This window comes from Homo sapiens, chromosome 5, assembly GCF_000001405.40.
Source record: "Homo sapiens chromosome 5, GRCh38.p14 Primary Assembly".
Taxonomy (NCBI): Eukaryota; Metazoa; Chordata; class Mammalia; order Primates; family Hominidae; genus Homo; species Homo sapiens.
Window position 1 is genome coordinate 175,810,931 of NC_000005.10, and position 24,259 is coordinate 175,835,189.

The 24,259-nt window shown below is 50.5% G+C and overlaps 1 protein-coding gene and 1 long non-coding RNA gene across 4 annotated transcripts in view, besides 2 other annotated features; one reads left to right on the forward strand and one right to left on the reverse strand.

Annotated features, from left to right (window-relative positions):
• The window catches only part of CPLX2 (complexin 2), an 87,489-nt gene that overhangs the window by 14,398 nt on the left and 48,832 nt on the right, over positions 1–24,259 (forward strand). The window lies entirely within an intron of this gene.
• Positions 9,682–10,182: an enhancer, noted in NCBI's record as "H3K4me1 hESC enhancer chr5:175247615-175248115 (GRCh37/hg19 assembly coordinates)". NCBI's record gives its function as "activates a minimal SCP1, AML or CMV promoter by ChIP-STARR-seq in primed H9 embryonic stem cells {active_cell/tissue: H9 hESC(primed)}" and the evidence as "EXISTENCE:reporter gene assay evidence [ECO:0000049][PMID:30033119]".
• Positions 10,040–16,048, reverse strand: LOC105377744 (uncharacterized). Its single transcript, XR_941268.3, has 3 exons — positions 15,875–16,048; positions 14,643–14,979; positions 10,040–13,957 (listed from the first exon to the last, which is right to left on the reverse strand). It is a non-coding gene; the product is annotated as an uncharacterized LOC105377744 (long non-coding RNA).
• Positions 12,960–13,019: a silencer, noted in NCBI's record as "silent region_16646". NCBI's record gives its function as "represses an Ori minimal core promoter by ATAC-STARR-seq in GM12878 lymphoblastoid cells {active_cell/tissue: GM12878}" and the evidence as "EXISTENCE:reporter gene assay evidence [ECO:0000049][PMID:35858748]".

Sequence of the window (24,259 nt, forward strand, 5' to 3'; positions counted from 1 at the left end):
GATCTCTAGCCTGTGTTATAGATTCTATTCAATTGTTCTAAGAGGCAGTGGGATGAGATGGAAAGAGCACGGGCTTTGGAATGAGGGCCAAGTTGAAGTCTAGCTGGCCCCTTACTGGTTTTTCTTTCACATTGATTACTCTGAGGATTAAATGAGATAATATATGTAAGGTGGATGGCACATAGTAAGTGCTCGATGCAGGTTTGTGAATAAATGAATGAATGATTATGAATGATTGGTTCAGGACCCATATAAACCAGATCTTAAAGCTGGAGGAGCCAGCTGACTCTGCATTCTGAGTTAACAAAGTCATACTACCCAGGAAGGGTGGTTTGAAAAGTCTTGAGAAGCAAACTTCAGGATTAGGCTGTTGGTTGGCCTGTCTCCAGGCCAGAAAGGAGGATCTTTCTCCAGCCCCTGGTGCAAGGGGTTCCCTCAGCTCAAGAAAAAATTTGAGTCTGGAATCTGGGTTCAAAACAGAAAACTCCTTGAAAATCAAGACTGTGTCATTTTATTGGTGGATTCTGCCTTTCTCTCAACTAGAGCCTGGCTCAGAGTGATGTCGAATAGGCAGAGAGGTCCACAGCACATATTCATGTTGTGAAGATGAGGTGCATTGACTTGAGTTGATCTGAGTTGACTTGGCTTGAATTGACTTGAGTTGTTCTGAGTTTACTGGTGGACTCAACTCTTGGGCCCACCGAGAGAGAAGCTTCCTGAAACTTGGACTTAGCTAAGACCTGGCTGGTCTCATAGCACAGGGGAGACTTCACAGGTGATGTTCTGGGGACATTACAGAGTGTCCCGAAGATAGAGGCCTTTCAGAGAGGACCAGGGCCATAGTCAGCACTGAAGAGCTGGATAGCAGTCTTGGCTCAGTCAGGGGGCACCACATGGCTAAATGTCCCTTAGGAATCTTTAAAATCTATTGGAACTCTGCCAGGACCTTTTCATATTTTTAAGGCAATAGAAGCCTTTCTTACTGGCATAGAGGGATCTTTTTGGGGTACCCACTTCAGTGGGAGGATGGCCTCCAGGTTGGAAGGTCAACTAGACTCAGCAATGAGGAGAGAAGACAGGGTGAGGCTGGGAACCAGGCAGAGTTTCATACTACAGATGCTGGGACCATTGTAGGTGGGTCCTCCCATGGAAGCGAGGGTTTGGGGATCTGAGTGAGATGTGATTCTAACTCTAGACTTATGTCAGGCAGTGTTTGCTGAAGGGAAAATGACCCAGAAAGTACACTGGGAAATCAGGCAAGACCTATAGCCTCACCATGCGGAGGGCAGCCAGCACAGCTCAGGCCCCTTGGCCAGCCCCATCCCAGGCCCTGCCCACCACAGAATGCAGCCAGCACCTGAGGGAGACAGGAATGAGAACACCAGTGAGCTTCAGGTGAGCAGGGGCTGCTCACACGCTTACTGCACTTGACCAGTGTCTGTCTCTCACACGGGTCTGGGAACCCACCAAAGGAAATATGTTGCGTTCCTATCATCCCCTTTGTACCCCCTAAAAATCTGGGTACAGATTTTAGACATCAGTGTTTGATGAGTGAATAATCAGGTCAGAGTAAGATTTAGAAAGCCAGTGGAAGATTTCAAGATGGCAAAATGGAAAATTTCAAGATTTCAAGGTGGCCAAGGTCCAAGGTAGAGACGCCTAGCCAGAAAAAATAAGATAGACCCAGAAGCTGCCCCTCAGGAATTTGGCTCATGGAAAAATAATGCACTAAATGGAGCCAAGGGACAGGGTGGTGCAATGTGAGCTTGAAATAATGTTCCTCAGCATCCTGGGCTTCTAAGAAGGTTCTCAGGGCCCATTATGGGATGGGTTTGGGGAAGAGAAGGCCTCAAAGAAGAAGCCCTAGATCCTCCAAATCCATTTCAACCACAAAAGCTTCGCTTTTATCTGTTGTATATGTTGGATTTCCTCCTAAATTTTTACTTTTAAAGGGTTCTTTTGATTTTAAAAAGTGCATTTGGGAAAGTACTGGCATTGAAAGAGCCTATGCCTTTGGAGGTAGACTGGGTCCAGATCTCAGCTCCATCCCTTTCCACCAGTGGGACTTGGGGCAAGTGTCCCTTTGAGCCTCCACATTCTCAGCCACGAGCCACCCTCCCAGGGCTGTATGAGCACAGCTAAGCGGCTCTGGTACCTCCCAGAGGCTGGCACACGTGTGATTGATTGATGCTGTACAAGATGACTTTAGCTGGTATACAGATGAACATTTATTATTTTAATAGCTCGCAAGTGATGCGTGTTAGAAATATATAACCAGCACACTAAACTGTGATTTATGAAAATAATATGGCATTTCCTCTGAAAATAAAATTGTGATCTTTTTAAAAAGGCAAATCAATTTAAAGAGAAATACTAAGTAAGTGATAGGGCAGAAATCATGAAGGTGGCACAGGAATGACTGAAATTTGGGGGAAATTGAGAGAATCTATGTAAACACCAATCACAGTGTCTGTCACTTAAGAAGGGCTCAAAAAGTTAGTTCTTATATCCTTCTATTTTAGCTCCCTGGGGTGGTTGAACCTAGAACCATGCTCAAAAAACAAAACAAAACAAAAACAAAGCTTCCTGGGACAAAGTAGGGGCCCAGGCCCAGTCGGTCTGGAACAGTGTGGGGTGGGCATGAGACAGGCAGCCATGGATCCAGCTCTGATGGGCAGAAGTGGTCAAGTGTGGCCAGGGAGCTGGCCACAGGCACACAGAGCAGTCCGAGGCTGCTGAGGTAGCATCTCCCACAAAGTGGGCACAGACCATCGGGGATCCATGAGACAATTTGAAGAGTTATTCAGGCACAAATTAAATAGCACTGGGAGAGAATGACTGCCTTTTTGGTTGATTACATCAAGGAGAGAGTCTCAATTGAAGGTTAGCCTCTCCTTAACCAGCTTGATTTCCTTTCCAAGGAAGAGGCTCAGACTTCAGCCGGCAACAGTAACTAGCTGGAAGTGGATAAACGATGTTTTATTTTCCATTTATTTGTTTTTAACCATGGCCTTCTATTTACAGAACAGGATACTGCATTCCTGTTTATGAGAAGGATCTTATGTTCTCTTTCCAAATATATGTATTAAAGGTCAAAAAATGAACCTGTTACTCTTGCTAAGTATAAAGTGAGTAATAGTAAATGCAAGATGTACATGAGGAAAACAGAGAGAAGTGGTGTATGACTGAGGCAAGAGTCACCTGGCAAAGGTGTTGCAAGGGCTTCCATGGCTCCAGAGCCCATGCTGGGCCCAGAGGCAGGAATGTCTCCAGGCCCCACCACAGCCTCCGGGGCAGTCCTCACCCTGGGGAGGGCAAAGGAGGCCCCATCCTAAGAAGGAGGGAGATTGCTGGGCAGGTGACCCAGAGCCTCCTGCCTGAGCCGGGAGTGCAGAGACCAGGACAGCAGCCTGGCCAGCAGTCAGTGAGGTCAGGGCTACCACCAGAGGGTGGATCTGAAACAGACCCTAGGCCTCTGGTTTCTGGCAAGGTTGATTACATCCAGAAGGGGGTCTTAATTAGAGGCTGTGGTCCAGTGGTTGATCATAACTTGGATTATCCAGCGGGGGCAGGAAGGAGCTGAGGGACAGGAAGAGGCAGCCCGTGTCAGCCTGGTGTTCAAGGAATCAGGTGTGAACCTCAACAGTTCACAGCAGCCTTAGAGAGGGGCTGGGTGTGAATTAGGGTACACTGATAGCAAGCAACAGAGACTAACTCTGTCAGACTCAGACAGAAAAGGGGGTTATCGAGGTTATCAGATGGGACCCAGAACCAAAGGGAAAGCTGGACACAGGGCTCAGGAAAGGACCAGAGCCAAAGCTGCACAAGGGGTCTGGAAGCAGGACCTGAGGCCGGTTTTGTCCAGGTCCCCTCTGGGATGCATCTCAGCCACAGCCGCTTTTTTCCTCCTTGCATCACTCGGCTCATGAGTCACAGCCCCAGGAGGGAGACAGCTGGCTTGGCGTGGGTCCCGTGTCCTCCTCTCGGCCAGCCCAAAGCATGGCGGCTTGACAGGACTGCTTCCGAGATTGAACGTGAGGGAGGGGTGGTTCCCACAAGGAAAATCAAAGGGCTGTCACCAGAAGGAGGAGGAGTGGATTCTGGGCAGCTCAAACCAGCAAATGTCTACCAGAAGGATCCCAGGGAGTACGAGGCACTGTGGTCTCCTAGGTTTCACTCTCTGGGACCATCCCTGAGGCCTCCTTTCTCCTACCCTGAATGGACAAACGTCACCATCCCAGTCTGGGAGCAGTGGTCTGCTGTACCTGAGTAAGGTGGTGAGCTGCTGCAGTGAGGGTCCTCCGATGGGCTGGGGGCCCTAGGGGAAGGGTACTGGGCAAGTCTGATCCTTGGCCCCAGGGCTGAAAAGGATCTGCTGGGCTGAGGAAGTCTAATGAGAACCGACTCACTCAGGGGCTGCAAACCCGCTCGTCAGCAGGCTTGGCGGAGAGCACATGCATGGAGGAACTGTGACAGGGGACAGACATGCTTAGCTAGCAGGACAGCCGCTGCCCACTCCAGGGAGTGGAGTTACCACTCCAGCAGTTACCACACAGGCACGGGGCCCCAGGGTTGATGGTTACACCTGGGCTGGTTTGTTTAAATGAAGGCCCAAATCAGGAGTTCTATGTGAAACTCCTCCTTTTTTAGTATTATCAATTCACAGGAAAACAATTAAATGTTGTGTTGACCAAACAATATGTACCACCAGTTTGTGACCATGGGAACTAACTTCTACTCATCCACTACAACTAAGATGAGACATCACTTCCTCCAGGAAGCCTTCCATGACTTGCCCCTCCCTCTGCCTTGCCACCAATTCTTTGGACTCCCACAGACCCTGTATTTCCTTTTGTCACAGCATTGACCCTCTGTGTTACTTGGAGGCACACAAGTTCGTTTGTTTTTGTCTGCTGCTTTTTGACTGTAAGCTCCTTGAGGAGACCCACTGTCTCTTGTTACATCTATGCCCAGCATCATGCCTGACACACATGAAGGGCTGTGGCATTGATGGAAGGGGCCTATAGGGACTGCAGGTCTCAAGGTTATACTGTGGCAACCAGTTAATCCTCAAATCCTGTTGTGACTTAATACAACAAAGATTTGTTTCTCCTTAACATGATGTCTTCTGTGGAGCCAGCAGCTCTCCAGGCAGCATCCTTCCAATCGGTGACTCCGGGATCTAGGCCGGCTCCGCCACTATGCAGCAGCGGAAGAGAGTGAGTGGAGAACTCACAGTCACTCTTTTTTTTTTTTGAGACAGAGTCTCACTCTGTCGCCAGGCTGGAGTGCAGTGGTGCAATCTCGGCTCACTGCAACCTCCAGCTTCTGGGTTCAAGCGATTCTCCTGCCTCAGCCTCCCAAGTAGTTGGGATTACAGGCCCGCATCACCATGCCCAGCTAATTTTTGTATTTTTAGTAGAGGCGGGGTTTCACCGTGTTAGCCAGGATGGTCTTGATCTCCTGACCTTGTGATCTGCCCGCCTCAGCCTCCCAAAGTGCTAGGATTACAGGCTTGAGCCACCGCACCCAGCCAACAGTCACTCTTAATACCTCAGCCCAGAAGTGACACTGATTGATTCTTCTCACAGGCCGTTGGCCAAAACTAGTCACATGACCTATCTCACCATCAGGGGCGGGAAAGAATTCACTGAGTTCACGTTCTTGCAGCACAAGCCCTGACCTGCCGCTGGCAGTGCTGGGGAGCCAGGGGTCCAAAAGGAGGACTTGGGCTATGCGTGGGGCAGAGGCAGCCAGGAACCAGAGGTGCTCGAGACACAGAAACTTGCCAGCATCACTGAGAACCAGAGGTGCCTCATGGCTGGTACATGAAAGCACCTCTTAATTTGCATGTTTAACTCAACACATCCTAAAAAGTGGGAAAAGAGTGGGGAGAGAATTTCATTAACCTGAGCTTTCCACCTTTCCTTATTTTTCCAATCAGTAAACACTAGCAAATGAAAATCAAGTTGATGGAAAAATAGAGGTCAAATGCCAATGGGCAAACTGTTCAGAAAGAAATTGCCACCTGGTCCCTTCAACATCTTACGTGGTGTCCATGGTGACCCAAGAGCGACTGCAGCTGTTGGAAGGGCTCAGACGCCAGTGCACTCGGGGATACCGACCCTCACTGCTCTGACAGCCTTGGCCAGACCATGGCCGATAGCAAGTCAGTGGGCCCCACTCCAGGGGGCTCCAAGACACTTGCCATGCTTTCTTCAGGCTATATCACAACAGCAGATGTTTCTTTGGGATGGAATCACAGGATCTTAGATGGCTCTAGAAAGAGCAGAAGCTTAGGAGCCAGAAAGATCTGGGTTCAAATTCCAGTTCTTTCCTAGTAAGTCAGCTTCCTACCTAGCAAGACCCTTCACCGCTCTGAGTTTCAGCTTTATCGCCTGTCTAATGGGTACAAGGATAACACCTACCTCCCTGAACAACTGCGCATAGTCTCTGACATCACGTGTCTAATGCGTAATGTCCTAACGCACAGTATGACCTCAACTGATGTCACTGTTTCTCCTTTTCCCCCACTGGGGTCAGAGGGACTGAGTCCAACCTCCCCTGACTGCAGCCAGCCAGTTCCTATTTGCACACCTCTGATGACAAGAAGCTCACTACTCTTCCTACTGCCCCCCTCGCCCTACAAGCCCTGAGCATCTTGCTCCATTTTTTAATTACTCCCACGATGTTTGTGAAGAGAGGGTCTGATGTCCCTAGGGACTAGGGATTGAGGGGAAGGTGCCTGGCTCACTTCCCCACCTGGCTGACTAATCACAGTCTTTGCCCTCAGGAGTTGTGCGGGGGAACTGAGTATAGTGAGGATGAAGGAGGTGAGGGGATCAGGGTGGAGGAATGTGTATCCATTTCTGGTTCACAAAAGGAAACAGAGAAACCCATCACACATGGGAGACAGGATCAGGACTGGGGACATGTGTCCCATAGAAAAGAAATCTCAGGAAGACTGCCACAGGACAATGATGGAGGTTCAACCTAGGGTTAAGTGTGGGGAGCCACAGAGGGGAAAACAGGAGCCTCAAATAAGAGCAAACTTTCCTTCATTCATTCTGCAAGCACTCCCTGTTTCTCCACCCTGCCTGGCCCCAGGCTGAGCATAAGCGCAAGAAATGAATCCGTGGCCTTGACCTTGGGAGAGTGGGCAGGCATGTAGATGATAACATGGAAACCATTTGAGTATTGCTGAGATAAAGGAAAGTTCAATGGGGGCTGTGGGAGCTCAGAGTGGGGGTAGCTGGCCCACTAGGGAGGGGAAGGATGAGGAGGCAAACAGAAAGTCGGGAGAAAAGGGATACCAGCTAGAGGGGCACCATGGGCAAAGGCATAGAGGTGAAAATCAGCCTGTGTGTGGAAAACCCACCCCTTTCTCTAGTGCTTGAGCAGGGAGTGGTGACAGGTGGGCTGATCCAGCAGAAAAGGGCCTTGCAGACAGCCACAGAGCAGAGACCCTGTCCCAGGCTAGGAGGAAGCCATGGAAGGGCGAGTTGTTTTTCATTTTTGTTTTTTCAGGAAAAAAAAATTACTGAACTATAACCTATGTTCATAAAGTTCTCCTAAGTTTACAGCTCAGTGAGTTTTCACAAAGTGAACACGCCCACGTAACCTTCCCCAGCTCGAGACACAGAAACTTGCCATCACGGAAGCTCCCTTTGCTCCCCTTTCCAGTCCCCACCTCCCTGCAAAAGGAGCTGCTGTCCCAACCTTTTTTTTTTTTTTTTTTTTTTTTTTTTTGAGACAGAGTCTTGCTCTGTCACCTGGGCTGGAGTGTAGTGATGCGATCTCGGTTCACTGCAACCTCTGTCTCCCGGGTTCAAGCGATTCTCCTGCCTCAGCCTCCCAAGTAGCTGGGACTACAGGCATGCGCCACTATGCCCAGCTAATTTTGTATTTTTAGTAGAGATGGGGTTTCACCATGTTGGTTGGCCAGGATGGTCTCAATCTCTTGATCTCATGATCGGCCCACCTCAGCCTCCCAAAGTGCTGGGATTACAGGCGTGAGCCACCGCGCCCGGCCCCGACTTCTAATTTCATAGATTCATTGGCTGTTTTTGAACTTCATATAAATGAAATCACGCCGTGTTGGACCCCTGCTCAGCGACGTTGGAGAGTCTCTTGAGTTGTTGCATGTGGTTGTCATTCATTCTCATTGCTGGAGTAAATCTCATCGTGGGACTAGACCAAAATGCAGTTCTAGTGTTGATAGCCACTTGGGTTGTTTTCAGCTTTAGACTCTTGGGAGAAGCGCTGCCATGAAGATTCTTGCACGTGTCTTTGGAAAAACACATGTACACATTTCTAGGGGGTTTATGCCAAGGAGTGGAGTTGCTGCATCACACGAGATGCGGGTTCAGCTCTAGCAGATACTGTCAAATGTTTCTTCCAAAATGATAGTAGCAATTTACATTCCCTACTGTAGCTACTTGGTGGAAGTTTCAGGAGCTCCAAACCCTCACCAACATTTGGTATTTTCCGTCTTTTCCATTTCAGCGATTCTGGTGGATGTGGAGTGGTGCCGTTGGAATTTTTATTTCCCCAAAGACGAGTAGGTTAAACACCTTTTCATATGCTTCCTAGCCATTTGGACATCCTCTTTCCCAAAGTGTCTATTCAAGGCTCTGGACAGGGAGGGTCAAGGGCCGCCTTTCATTTTAGAAAGTTATCTCTGGCAGCCAAGTGGAGTGTCTGGGATTGGAAGTGGGTGTCCTGGAACCTCTGGCTGATACCAGGGGCATCTCTTAGGTACCAGGTTTCATCGGCTTCCTCTGCCTTCTTCACTCCTCACAGTCACCCTTTGACCTCACAGGTCAAAAGTGTTATCAGTATTTCACAGATGAAATGGCCAGGCTCAGAGAGGTGAAGGGCCTGCCCAAGGTCTCACAGAGGGTGCGGAGAGGACAGCTGGGATGTTCTCAGCCTGAAGCAGGTAGCCCAGGGAGGAATAGAACAGAAGGGAACAAAAGGAAGGTGAAGAAGCAGCTACAAGGACATCTATCTCACTCCTTATTTTGCAGAAAAGGAAATTATCCACCTGTCTCCCCAGTTCTCTCCCCTTCCTTCCCCTCTCTCTGCATCACACCAAAAGTCCCTACAGAGGTCAGCAGCCATCTGGAGGTGAGTGTCCCCAGCCTGAGACTGTGTTGGAGGCCCAGTGATGTGCAGGGAGCCAATTTGGTCAGCTCCTGTCTCTGCCACCACCCACCGTGTGGCCCTGGACTGGTCACGTCACCTCCCTGAGCCTTAGGCTCTTTACCTGTTTCAATAATCCCTTCCTCTGGGCCTTGTGGGGAGAAATCACTGAGGGAAACTGATGCAGTGCCCAGCAGGGCGCCTGGCGTCATGAGCCCTTAGTTTACTTGGCACACACTCATTCCTTCCCCCGACACTTCTGTGACTAGCGGGGCTCCGTGTTCTGCCCAGGCCCCCTCTCCCTGGGTAGCAGGGTCAGCCTCTTCACGTCTCATGCAGCCACAACAGGCCACTGGTGGGTTCCTCACTGCCTGAAAGCAGGTGTGGTGGGCCAGGCATGGCATTCCCTCCCGCATCACCTTGTCTCCCTGCAGCTGCCCCCACTCAGGCTGACAGCCACACAATGAGTCCTAGAAGGGCCTTTCTCGTCTCAAGGACTCTCAGCTCAGAGCCCAGACGCCTTTATTTTAGGAGCTGTGGTTAGTAAAGTGCTTCATCAACGCCACCTCCAAGCAGCCCCCCGCCCCCTACCACACACAGCCCGTGTGACTGTCTCACCCGCCCTGTCCTTCCACTCCTTAATCCGTGCTGCATTTCATGAGCATCTCCAGGCACTGTGCTAGGCACCAAGAGGCCCACCAGCTCCCTCCCTTCATGGAGTTTCCTCTGCATTGAGAGAAACAGACAATAAACAAATATATGGACATGGTAAACAGGATGCCTTTGGATGGTGCTCAGGGCCGTGGAGATGATGGAGAAAGCTATAACAGAGAGGGACAGGCAGTCGGCCGCTCGGTCCCAGAGCAGAGTCAGGAACTCCCAGGCCTGCTGCTGGGGATGGTGCGTCCTTCTCTGGTTTGGGCTCTTCCTGGAGGGAGCAGTGACACTGCAGACCTCCTGGGGGTTGTCCTGGGATTTGGCAAAAGATCCTGGCTGCTCCTGACCCCTGGCACTTCCTCCATCCACCAGCTTCTCCCCTCCCGCCCCATAGGATTTCTTCCTCCCAATCCTACTGGATCCTGAGCAAACTGAGTCCTTTCCTGATGGTTTCCCCATCCCCAGGGGCAAGGGCAACTGAACCCCACACAGGGCCAGCAGAGACCCTCAGCTCTACGCAAGCAGGACACTCTTTCTCCCTTCTCAGGCCTCCACCTTCTCTCCCTCCTTCACCCCCTTCCTGACTCAGTCTCTCTGTCTCTGTGCCCCATCTCGCTTTTCCCCTCTCCAACTTCCTGTTACTCTCCTTCTCCTAAATTTCTTTTCCTTCTTTTCCTTTTTCTTTTTTTTCTTGAAATGGAGTTTCGCTGTCGTCACCCAGGCTGGAGTGCAATGGCGCGATCTCGGCTCATTGCAACCTCTGCCTCCTGGGTTCAAGTGATTCTCCCGCCTTAGCCTCCTGAGTAGCTGGGATTACAGGCACCTGTCACCATGCCCGGCTAATTTTTGTATTTTTAGTAGAGACGGGATTTCACCATGCTGGCCATGCTAGTCATGAATTCCTGACCTCCAGTGATCTGCCCGCCTTGGCCTCCCAAAGTGCTGGGATTACAGGCGTGAGCCACCACGCCCGGCCCTAAATTTACTTCTTATTGGGACACTCATTTCCTTCAAATAAATATATGTATTTTTAAATGCACTGAGCCCCTACCGGGTGCAGGCATAAGGTGAGGAGCTTGGGTCTAATCAAAGATGAGTAAGACATGGACTTCCCTGCAAGAGAGATGAGTCATGTACCTAAATAAGTGAAATGGGGAGGCTGAAAGTGGCCAGTGTGATAAAGGAGACACTGATGGGGGCTGCAGAGTAGGAGGGTTCCTGAGGGCTTCAAGGAAGAGGTGATGTTTTTAGTCACCTTGAAATACGATCATGCAATGAAACGTGGGCTGACTCTGGGCCTCTCCTGTGGACAGTTGTTTAAGGACCAGCTCATTTGCCTGGAACGTAGGGAATTTGAATGTCATCTTTCTTTCACTTTATAGTTCTCTGATTCTGACTCACTTCCTTACCGATCTCACCACCTTCTCCTTCATTTTCTCTTTCATCTGTACTTTTTTTCTTCCCCACCTGTCCCTTCACAGACCATAAGACGTACTTTTGAGTTTTGTCCTCAATTTCGTTTTCCTTCCATCCTTTTCTCTCAAGTCTAAGTCCCACTCTCTAGCATCCTTCCTTCCTAACCTCCAAGGTGCCCTGGTAGACCACGTGGACTTTGATGTCTAACAGACCAGGGTCTCAGCCCAGTGACTCAACTCTCTAAGCCTTCATTTCATCATCTGGAAACAGCCTCCTAGGGCTATTGTACAAACCAATGAGACAAAGGATGTGGAAACGCTTCCTACTGTAAATGAGAGTCTTTACCGTTAACGAGGCTCTTTAGACTTAAGTGACAGAAACCCAACTCAAGATGGCCTGAAGGGAAAAGGGAAAGTCTGATGTTGCTAGGTCAGACACACATGGCCCCAGGGCTTCAGACAGTGACCACAACACTCTATCTTTCTACATCTCTCCACTGCCATCCCCCATGTTGGGCAGGCCTTCCTTTGCAGAGTGGGAACACAGCCATCTCCTTCCTATCAGCTGAGCAACTCCAGTGAAAATCGGGCACCCATTCCAGTGGTGTCAGCAAAGCTCTGTGATTGAACGTCAGTGGACTCAGCCCTAACCCATTCCCATAGCCAGGCCTGGGTCCCACGCTATCACACGGACCCGTTAATGATGGGATCCTCCCACCCAACCCATAAGGACCATGAGTGGGAAAGGGGAACATCTTCCCAGAGAGGGGCCATTTCACAGTTACAAAAAGAAGGGGAAATGGCTGTTACGAATCAAGCTCCTTGAGCAACGGAGACAAGAAACACAGGGAAAGGAACAGGCTCACGCCTTCTTAGCCCTCAGGTGTCATCTCCTCAAAAAAAAGTCTTCTCTAATCCCTTAAGGATGTGTTGGGTGCTTCACCTGTGCTCTAGCAGCACCTTATGCTTCCCCTATTATCATATTTTTCGTGTTTATTATACTATTCTATTTGCTTGTCTGTCTCCTTCACAGGACTTTAAGTATCGTCAGGACAAAGTCAGTGCCTGTCTTGCCTGTTGCTGTACACCCAATGTTGACAAATGCCAGACCCTTAGTAAATGATGGATGGAGGGATGGATGGATGGATGGATGGATGAGTGGTGAGATGGATGGAAAACAGACAGCTGGATGGGTGAATGCATGGATGGTAGGATAGATGAGGGTAGGTGAATGAATGAGTGAGTGGTGGAGCGTATGAACGATGGACGATTGGTTGGATAATGAGTGGATGAAGGGATGAATAAATAGATAGATGGATGGATGAATGGTTCAGAGATAACTGGTGAGATCAGTTTGGAATGGGCTTAGCCTGAACTGCCTGTAAACACAAACAGAGCTGCCCCTCAAGTTGTTGATAGATGAACCCCAAGTTCGGGAGAGAGGTCTGGGCTGGAAACAGAGGTTTAGGAGCTATTAATACAGAGACTATAATGGAGTGGATCAAGGTTACAGGGGAGGCAGCAAAGTGGGGGGAGCCAAAATCAGACAGCACCTAAGTGACACTTGAACCCAGGGCTGTGTGATGATGTCAGAGCTTGCTTTCCTTCCTTCATTTTATGGCAGCTTGGCCACTACTTGAGGTGACAGCACAGAGTTAATGTATCTCCCTCTCCCCTCCCTCCCCCTCCTCAAACCACTCAGCCAGAAGGGAGCAGCTGCCTGGGAGGACAGAGAGACAGATTATGTAAACTGTGATTGCCACCCACAGGAGGAGGAGGAGACTGAATAGGTATTGAAATGCGCTTTCAATAATGCATGTCCTCCTCCGCACAGGCCTGGGGCTTGCTGGGGAGGAGAGGATCCTTAAAGGGACCGATCCTCCTGTCCCCAACACCCACAGGCCCCCTGCCAGCCATACAGGTCCCCTGTGCACAATTGGAGGGCTCTATGGACATCCACTCCAGGGGTCCCCAACCTTTCACCCTCAAGGACGCCTTTTTTTCTTTCCCTCTTGACTTCAGTGGATTTGACTTTTTAAAGATTCTGTTTCCCAAACATGCTGCATTTAAGTCATGATTAATTCATTTTCCCCATTTTTTATTAATCAAAGACACTTAACTGCCAGTCAGAGCTTTGATCAGCAAGAGGTAAGCCACGAGGTGAGGTGATGTCATTCCAACCCAAAGCTAAGAAATATAGCAAGCAATATTGTTAGGCAGGCCGGCCTTGCTGCCAGAAAGTGCCCTCCCTTCTTCTAACCCCAGAGATAGAAGAGCCCCAGGCTGGGGACCAGGGACCCTGCCCAAGTCTCTCTCATTTCCCAAAGGAGGAAACCAAGGCCCAGAAAGGCAAATGGACTTGCCCAAGGCCACAGGATCAGTGAGACCTAAAGGCCAAGGTCTGGCCTCTGCAGTTTCAAATGACCTAGAACTTGGCAGTGAAACAGGCCAAGCAGGGGACCTGAAAGTCAAGAGGAGGGCAGGAGAAAGAGAAGCCATGAGAGCCAGCACCTTCATTGTGCTCCTACTACGCACCAGACCCACTAGAAAGTGTCTACCACCTTGTTCTCACACAACAACTCGGAAGGCTGAGATTGACATTCCCGTTGCACAGAGGAAGAAATTGAGCATCAAAGAGGATCCGTGGTTTTACATCATCCACTCAGCTGGGAAGTGAAGGATCAGGATTCCAGCAGGTGTGTCCAACCGACCGTGAAACTTTTTCCACCTCACTGGCCTGGCTGTGATGGAGGCGAGGAGATCATTCAGACCAGATTGGCATTTCTGTTTGCCACTCACCAGTGTGTGAATTTAGCTAATGATCTCACCCCTCTGAGCCCCCATTCCCTCCTCTGAGGAACTGGGATAGCATCTGATGGCTTGAGTGATGGTGGAGGATAAGAAAACAGGGTTAAAGAAAATGGGGCACAGAAACTAGGGTACAGAGAAGCTTTAACTTGGCGAACTGGACCGGGTACAGTGGCTCGCACCTGTAATCCCAGCACTTTGGGAGGCCAAGACAGGCAGATCATGAGGTCAGGAGATCAAGACCATCCTGGCCAACATGGTAAACCCTGTCTCTACTAAAAATACAAAAATTAGCTGGGGATGGTGGCATGCACCTGTAGTCCCAGCTACTTGGGAGGCTGAGGCAGAATTGCTTGAACCCAGGAGGCAGAGGTTCAGTGAGCCAAGATCGCACCACTGCACTCCAGCCTGGCGACAGAGCGAGACTCTGTCTCAAAAACAAACAAAAAGAAAAAAAAAAAGGAAAGAAAATGGGGCACAATACTTAGAAATGGCATCCTCTCGCTCTATTCCCTCCTTTTCTAGTGAAAAACTTCCAAGCTGGCAGAAGCCAGAGTGTGAGATCTGATTGCTTCTGTCTCTGGGGATCTCCTGGGTTGTAGTTCAGGAAAACTTTACCCTGTTCTTCCACTGCTTTCAGTTAAAGGGACTGTTTTCCTCTGGTCCAGTAATTCTAAGACAAGGGTTGAGAGTGGGACGAGAGTCTCTGCCTGTAGCTTGAATGCTCTCCTGGTCACCACCATCTGCTTCCACATCTGGTTTTATTGCTGGGCGGGAGATAGCTTGACCATTCCCATCACACTCCTGGAAACTCCGTTGATTTCCCCAAGGCAGCCAAAGAAGCTGGAGTGGAAATCTCAGCTCCCAGCAGCTAGAGAGGGTGACCCTGCTGGACTTGCCACAGTTGCTCCTCCTGGACCAGGCGGAGGTGGAGTAATTGACTCTCTGGTTTCCCCTGGAAGTGGTTTTAAATGAATAAGTGCAAAAAAAAAAAAAAAAAAAAAAGCCTGGTAACTGGGGTGGGGCACTAAGCAATTTCTTGGGCAGGAATTCAGCAGATCGGATGCTTGTGCCAGTGGTGTGGGCTGGGCTGAGACTCAGGGATGCACAGGGCTTGGTGCAGACAGGGTGGGAGCACTGACTAGCGGCACCACGAGGTTAGAGGGCTGCGATAAAGGTGTGTGAAGGGCACTGCAAGAACCCAGGGTGGGCGCCACTGACTGAGTGGGTAGGATAGTATGGGTGAGGTGAGCTTCTCAGAAGACGGACCTTTGAGCTGAGCCTGGTAAGAAATGGGGAATTTCAGATAGTGTAGACAGATGCAAAGATGGGACCACATGAGAGCATTCTAAGGAGGAGTCCAGGTTGTTTGAATACAAGGGGATGGACAAAAGGTAGGGCAGGAGCGCAAGGCTGGGCCAGATGTTCGAAGGCCTTGAATGCTATTCCCAGTGCGAAAGGACTCCACGCTTTGGTCATGGCCACAGCATGAGCATACCTGGGGTGGGGCTAGTGTTTAAGAAAGATCTCTATGAGAATCAAACTGGAAGCAGATGTTCCCAAGCAAAAGCGATAGGCCAGCAGGAATCAGACGGACCCTCAACTGGGCTGGAGAGATGTTTGTGGCGGGTGAATGGGTTGGATTTGGTGGCTGATTGGATGTGGGAAGGAGACGAAGAAAGGAATCTCCCAGGATGGCACTTGCTTTGGGGCCCCTACTGGCCCCTCTACCCTGCTCAGGGTGGGGAGAGAGGACCCACCAATGCCTAGGCCAACCCAGGTTCCCAGGGAAGCTTGGACAGGGAGGGCTTCCCAACACCCACTCCCTCAAAACTGAAGAGAAAACTTACTACTTGTATTCTTGAGCTGGTCAACACACTCAGTTGCAAGTGAGCAAAATCCAACTTAAAGTGACTTCAGCAAAAGGGGGAATGTGTTTGGTGTGTGTAATGAGAAGCTCTAGGGATGCTGCTTTCCCCTACAGTTGGATCACGCAGCTCGAATGAGGAGAGTAAACCTCATTCTCTCTCCCTGTCTTGGCTCAGCTTTCCTCTGTGTCCAGGCCAGCTCTCGTCACAGGGTGGTTTCTGCTGCTCCAGACTTACATCCCCACAGCTCAGCAGCTGCAGCAACAGGAGACTCCAACAGCCCCATCAAAAGTTCCAGAACTGAGTCTCATTGGCCCCTTTTGGGTCACATGCCCTTCCCTGCACCAATCACTCTAGCCAGAGGGTGGACTACACTGATTGGCCTAAACCGTGGTCATGTGCCCTCTATGGGAGAACAGGCTGGGGCCTCACCCTCAACTAAACCTCACTGAAGGTGACTGGGGGAGGAGCAGCTTCCCCAGAGGAAATGGGGATACCCTTTCTAAAATAAGGGAAATTGTTGCTTGATTGCTTTTCTACAGCAGCTGAGGGCAATGCAGAGTGGCCCCTCTTCTTTCCAGCATCTGACACCCATATTATGGTTTCATACCCAGGCCTCTTCAACATACCTTTAAAGTCCAAGAGATGATGGCCGGGTGCAGTCCCTCACGCCTGTAATCCCAGCACTGTGGGAGGCCGGGGTGGTTGGATCACCTGAGGTCAGGAGTTCGAGACCAGCCTAGCCAATATGGCAAAACCCTGTCTCTACTAAAAATACAAAATTAGCTGGGTGTGGTGGTCAGTGCCGAGCACCTGTAATCCAGCTACTCCGGAGGCTGAGGCAGGAGAATCGCTTGAACACAGGAGGCAGAGGTTGCAGTGAGCTGAGATCACGCCACTGCACTCCAGCCTGAGTGACAGTGAGACTCCGTCTCAATAAATAAATAAATAAATAAAGTCCAAGAGATGAACCAGCAGGGAGATGCACTTGACCTTGTGCACATTTACAAAAAAACCAACTGCAACTATTCATTCATAGACCCATCTGCCTCCTGCGTGCCCTGGCCAGCCCTGCCTATCGAGGGTGATAGAAAGACCCAGACTCTGCCCCCAAGGAGTTTACAGTCAGTGGAGTCTATTTTAGGTATAACTCCTGGATAATTTAGTAGAGTCAGACTTACTCTCCAAAAAATACACTTCACTGCATATGTTTTTCTGGTATTCGGATGCTTTTATTTGCTTTTAGATTAACTGCCTCACATGAAAATCATGAATTGAAAAGACCTTTAAAAATTCACCATTTACTTCTGAGTCAATTTTGTCTTCACTGATAAAAAATACCTAATATCTATTGCACATCCTCACTGAGGCAGCCTCTGGGAGTTTCACGATTTATTCTCTGGAAATCCGGATCTGGGTCCTGAGAAAGTGTGGTGGTCCCTTCATGGACTAAGAGGGTGAGGGTCTGGAAACTGTTCTATTGGAACAGCGAGCTACAGAATGATGGTCTGGACGAAAGAAGACTCGGGGGCATGTGCTCTCTATTACCCAGCATCTGTATGTGGAAGCAACGCACGTTAGAGGGTAGAGAGTAGAAGTGATTGGGAATAGATTTTTTAGCTCAATATGAAAGAGAAATATTTAGAGACCAGAGCTATTGCAAAACAAATAGACTGCCGTATAAGCTAGTGAGCTCCTCATTCCTGGAAGCGTGTAAACAGGGACTCTTAGGTGGAAAGTTAGACCAAATGACCTCAGCCTCTTCCAACTAGAAGATTCCTCAACTATGGGCTGAACAGTGTTTGAGTTTTGGCTCAAACACTATTTTTCTCTGTGGCCTTGGGTGAGGCGCTGTCCCTCTCTGAGCCTCAGTGACCTAGATAGCCCCCACAGCGTCTTCCTCTTCTAAATACTTTGCCTTGCTCATGTCAGATATTCACACCTGCCTCTGCACACTCAGGCAATTTCTGCCCCGTGCATATTTCGAGGCTCCAGAGCCTGAGCAAACCAGCCCACCAAACCCACAGGTGTGAGGCAGCTTCTGTCTGTGCCTTCTGTTCCTAGAGAGGCTGTGATTCATGGCCATGGGGGATGCCTCCCCCATCTGACAGGTGGAGAAGTGAGGTCTGGGGGAGGAAACTAACCACTGGAGCCAGACGCACTCCCCGCAAACACACCTGACTGGGCCTCTCCCACCTCACCATCTCCCTGTCCCCATTATTGGCCCTCAATCCACAAAGGACCCTGGGAATAGGCCTCTCCCCACCACGTCAGGTGAAGGGCAGCCACTGAAGCGGATGCAGACCCCAACATCTTGGACCTGAGAAGTGCATTTCCCACAGATCTCTCCATAGGCAGCCTTAAGGCTTTTTGCGTTTGATTTTTACAACAGCCCTGCAAGGGAGGCATTACCGTCCCCAACTTCTGGGGAGGAAACTGCGGCTCAGCGAGGCCAGCAATTGTCTGAAACCAGCTGGTAAATAAGCTGCAGAGAGGGCACTGGACCAGGCCCACCTGCTCAGCCATGCTCCCTCCCTGGGGTCGCGCAGAAGCTCACCTCGGGAAGAAGGCCCCGCTCCCCCAGGAAGGGCCCCCTTGCCAGGACAGTCATCCAGAGCCACACCTGACCCCAGTTCCTGCTGTCACTCTTTGCTAAAAGATGGAGGGGACTAGGTGGGCCTCGAGCTCCACCTTCCCTCGGACTTCTGCTGGGTCTTTTGGAGAAGCCACTTGCCCTCTCTGAGCCTCTGCTTCCTACCTAAGGATTCCATCAATCTAAGTCTCTGCACCCCTATATCTCCATCTGAGTGGGGAATAAAACTTCCGGCCACACAGAGTCACAAAGCATCCTCTACCCCTTGTCTGCCCTGATATGACCCTGTAATGTGGAGAGCAGAAGACCCACTGCACAAATGAAGAAACTGAGAGACTTTAACTTGTGCCCAAGATCACACAGTTAGGAAGACACAAAGCCAGAGATGCGGTCCTGACCCTTACTACTCAGGCAGTGCCTGCCCAGGACTCTCACGCAGACCTAGCTGGGGCCACAGAATTCACAAGGATGCGGGGTAAGCTGATGACACACTTGTCAGTGGGCCCCACCAGCCACCAGGTCCTCCCTCCCTCCCAGGGCCTCACTGAAGCCAATTTCTGCACCATCAGAGCCGCTGAACCTTCTGCTGTTGGTGGAAGCCAGTCACAGGTCACTGCCTAGCGGTCTCTCTCATCCACCAGCGTGGCTGCGGCCCTCCGTGCTCTCTGGGGTTCTGAAAACAGAACTGTGTGGTGCCAGGTGATCCAGAAGAGAAGCAGTGAGAGCTGGAAGGGCACATGAAGGGCAGTGTGGGCAGAGGGACAGGCAGGGAGGGCACTGCCGCCACAGAGCTGCCCTGGTTCCCTGCCCCCGGGGGAGCACAGCCCAGCAAGAGGGAAATGATGGCATCTTTTGTGGCTGAATTTTCACAACTCATGAGAGAGGAAGAGATGATTAGCCCCATTTTTCAGCTGAAATCATTGATGCTCAGACATGAAGCAACTTGCCCAGGGTTACACAGCCAGGGAGCAGCAGAGCCCAGGTATGAACCATCATGCCTGTCTCCTTCCCCGCCCCCGGAGGTGCGTGATGCCCCCACAGAGGAGAGTGAAGCGAGGCAGCCCTCCTTTAGGAGGGGGAGTTTTAGGGGTGAAGCACCCCACCCCCAGCTGTCCAGCCACCCTTAGCCTCTTCCTCTTTGCCACAGGCCATGCGGCACTAACAAGGACTCTGGTGGTCTCTTCGAGGGACCCTCATACATAGCTCTGCAGGCAGGCAAGGGATGAGCACAATCCAGTCTCTGGAGTCCTCACTCCCCAGAGCTTTCCTGGAAACAGCAGGAAGCTATTTTTAAAGCAGCATCCGCAGGCAGTAACCTGGGAGATGAGTCTCCCTCCAGATCCTCACCCCTGTGGGCTGGGGGCAGCGTTCACCCTGCTCACAGCTCAGCCAAGAAGCCCAGATCTGGGAAGGAGAGCAGGGAACATGTCACCTGCCAAGGGAAGCAGGTGGGTCTGCTCCAAACAAGCCTCGATTTTACCAACTGGAAGGGGCCTTAGAGCCCAAGGGAAACGTGCGTGTGTTCGTGCTCACACAGTTGTGTCAGTGCGATTGTGAGCATGGCTGGGGGTGCGCGTGTGTGCTCATGGCAGCTGAGTGTCTCCATATCCTATGCAGGCGTGACATTTAGGCATAAGTGCGTCTCTGTGTCTGTGAAAGCCAGTGTGCTGATGTCAGCTTGCCTCTGTGTGTGTGTGTGTGTCTCGGTACATCTGAATCTATTTGTTCCTGTGTGCATGTGTGTGGGTGTAAGTATGCATCAGTGTTTACGTGTGTCTGTCAGTCTCCCAGAAACCCTGGAAATACATGGGCAGAATGTTAGAAGTAGGAAGAGCATTCGCTCTCTCCAGCTCCCTCCCTTCTCTCCCCACTGCTCAAGTCACAGAAGGGGAAATCGTAGCTCAGAGAGGGGAAGGGACTTGCTCAAGGCCAGTCAGCCGCAGAGAGAACTGGAACCCAGATTTGCTTCCTGGCTCCCAGGGCCCGTCTACTCAGTCACCCCATTCAGGCTCCATTCCCAAGGCCAAAAGCTGCTCCCTCCTGCCCTGACGCAGGTGAGAACCAACAGGGCCCATCTTCTCCCTGGGCTTTGACTTGGCTGCTGAGAGGGGAAAAGTGTCTGATGCAAGTGTCTCTGTTATGGGCTCTGAGCAGAACATTGACTATGATTCAACAAACCATAGTCTGCTATTGGGGCAGAGCATGTACAAAGCCTACCAGCTGCCCAGCCCTGGTCCCGCAGATATCCCAAGAGAGGCCAGGCATGGCCCCTGCCCTCAAGATACCCACAGCTCAGCAGGAGGTCAGATAGGTCAACCAAGAACTATGACATGGGATTAAACATGCCTAACGGAGGCATGCAGAGAATTCCAAAGCAGCACAGAGGCAGAGGCAACTGATTCTGCCGAGAGGATCAAACAAAGCTAGTGAGGAGATGGGCGACATTTGAGTTGGGGTTTAAGAGAGAAATAGGTATGTCAGACATTGAAAGAGAAAGGGCCTTCTAAGCTGGGGGCACGAGTTATGCCAAGGCAACTTATCCACTTCTGACACTGTTCTAAAGAGGTCCAGCTCTTCCCTGGTCTACCCTAGGACTCTGCTGGCTCTGCCCTCCATGTCTCTTGTCTGTGCTCCTATTATTTCCACCATCTGGGATTTATTCATTCCTTTAGCAAATATGTCCTAGCCACCAAAAAGGTTCCTGGCCCTGAAAGTGGTACAGGAGATAAAGCTGTAATTTTGAGCATAGTCTCCATGTCTGACAGCAGGAGATGGGGGTAGTTAATCATCAACCAGTCACAGCTCCTCATTTCCTATGTGCCTGGCCCTGTGCTCAGTGCCATGAGGAATGGAGAAGACCATGAAAGCTCATTGAGCACCATGCTTGCAACAACACAGAGAGTTAAGTCTTGAAGGCCCCATTTCTGGAAAAGAAAGTTGAAGCTCAGAGAGATGACCTGACTTACCTGAGGTTGCACACAGTGCTGAGAGCCAAACCAGCTCCGTGTGATGAGTGTGGGTTCTTTCTGCCAGGCTGGGCTGCCTGCCTTCACAACCAGAAACATGGGCGTTGGAAACTGCTGCTTCTGCTGTTCTTTTGCCTATAATTGTCTCCTTAACGGGCCTGTGACGCTTTCAGTTATGTTCTTTTGTAAATGCCAGACAAGCTTGGGGACCCAAGGCAGTAGGGAGATTGTCTGCCAAAGAAAGTAGAATCAAACCTCCCCTTCCAAGGAATCTTCCAAACCCAGCAGGTTTGAGGTTAAAATTGGAGAGGGCAGGAATCTCAGGGGTCAAGACTGGGCCCCTATGTGCCTTCCAAGAAAGCACCTCTTCCTGAATCTGATGCTCAGACCAAAAGAAGGGAACATGCATGGAGAGGACCCAGGCAGGCCCCACACATGAAGCCCTTAGCACTCTGCTTGCCTCTTTAATGTGAGCTAAGAAAAAAGGATTAGGCTGGGCGTGGTGGCTCATGCCTGTGATCCCAGCACTTCGGGAGGCCGAGGTGGGCAGATCTACCTGAGGTCAGAAGTTCAAGACCAAGCTGGCCAACATGGTAAAACCCCGTCTCTACTACAAATACAAAAATTAGCTAGGCATAGTGGCAGGCACCTATAATCCCAGCTACTCGGGAGGCTGAGGCAGGAGAATCACTTGAACCCAGCAGGCGGATGTTGCAATGAGCTGAGATCGCGCCACCGTGCTCCAGCCTAGATGACAAAAGTGAAACTCCATCTCAAAAAAAAAAGAGAAAAGAAAAGAAAGGAAAAGAAAAAAGGATTAATCTGCATTGCATGGCCTCCACAAAGCTTTGGGATTTTTTGAAATCTCTTTTGTTACGGAGGCTTCATAATCTACCTTGTGATTAGGAATTGCCACCCTGATTTTGCAGATGAGAAGGGCTGGCTGCTTGGGATACAGAGATGAAGAGAGTACAGTCCCTGACCCCAGAGAACTCGTGGTGAAGAAACACAAACGCACAGAAGGCCTCTAGGGTGCTCAAGTCTGTAATACAAAGAAGCATGGGGGGCTGTACAAGGGACACAGGGGACTCGTTTCCAAGTTGGAAAGTCAAGAAAAGCTTTCTGAAGGAGCAGACATCTAAGCTGAGACCAGAGGAAGAAAGTTAGCCAGGCAAATGGAAATGGGGGGGCCTGGTATGCAATAGGTCAAAGGCTCCAGCCCAAAGCCTAGATCCCACTCCAGGACTCTTTGAGAAACACTGTTTGACACATCCACTGGGCAGGTATGGTTTGGAAGAATTTAGCAGTTAGGATCTGGGGTGGGGATGGGAGGCTGGAGAGGGATTCCACAGCCAAAATCAGTCAGTCCCCAGACGGAGGGGACTCTCTCCGCCCCTTCCTGCCATAGCCAGGCCCCTTCTTTGAAAACTTTGCCCAGACCGCAGGCTCGGCTGCTACCTACCTTCTGTTGCCTGCCTCTGGTTTTCCTCCCTCACATCCCCTTTCCTGGTGAGCTGGGGACCCATCTAACCTGGAGGCCCAGGTTCCTGCAGGGCACTTAGTTTCCATGCATGGCTCCAGCCCCCATGGGCTCAGCGTTCCTCCCTGAAACATCCTCTCTGGCTGCTGTTTTAGCGCAAGATTTTGCTTCAGGGTAAATCCTACGTTTCCCAAACCAACGGCATCTTGGCATGTAACTGAGATGCACAGGGAATCCCTGGATTTGAAGTCAGGAAGGCCTGCCTCTGGATGCCAGCTCTGCCACTGATGTAGCTTGGCAAGTTCCTACGTGTCTCTGGACCTTGATGTCCACAAATGTAAAATGGGGTAATGACACCAACTGCACAGAATTACTGTGAAGATTCAAATGAAACCCTGCATGCGAAAACTGCTCAGAAACGGTCCAGAGATGTGTAGATACAGGCAGGTACTACTGCTGTGACCCTGGTCACAGAAATGTCCATTCACTCAGCAAGTGTTTATCCAGGGCCCGGGTGCCAGGCTCTGCACTCAGAGCTGGAATCTAACAATGGACTAAGTAGACGCAGAGTCTGCCCTCAAGGACCTCACAGTCTGGGAAAGAGACAGACATGGACAACTTCAACGTAACGCAATTCATGCTTGGGTGGGAGGAAGCACAGTGGGCGGGGTAGCAGGGGGAGTCACCTTAAACCTAGGCCAGCCTGGGAAATGCAGAAAAGTTTTGTGGAGCTGGGTGTGGTGGCTCAAGCCTGTAATCCCAGCACTTTGGCAGGCCGAAGTGGACAGATCACGAGGTCAGGAGACATCAAGACCATCCTGGCTAACACGGTGAAACCTGGTCTCTACTAAAAATACAAAAAATTAGCCAGGCATCATGGCGGGAGTCTGTAGTCCCAGCTACTCAGGAGGCTGAGGCAGGAGAATCGCTTGAACCTGGGAGACGGAGGTTGCAGTGAGCTGAGATCGCACCACTGCACTCCAGCCTGGGCGACAGAGCGAGATCCTGTCTCAAAAACAAACAAACAAACAAAAAACAAACAAACGAAAGTTTTGTGGAAGCAAAATCCCAGTGGAGCAAGCCAGGACAGGGTCGGGGAAGAGTGCTCCAGAGAGGGACAACAGGAGGGGCAAAGGCCAGGGGGCAGGACCACAGGGTTGATGGGGACATGGCAAAGAGAGGGAGCTGAGGCTGTGAAGGCAAGCAGGATACATCAATTTTAAGATATGTTTGAAGTTCATGGTATTTTGTTAATTTATCTTAAACAGATTGCAAACAATGTGTTGATTTTTTTTGAAAAAGTAAAAACTGCCACACCATCACATACG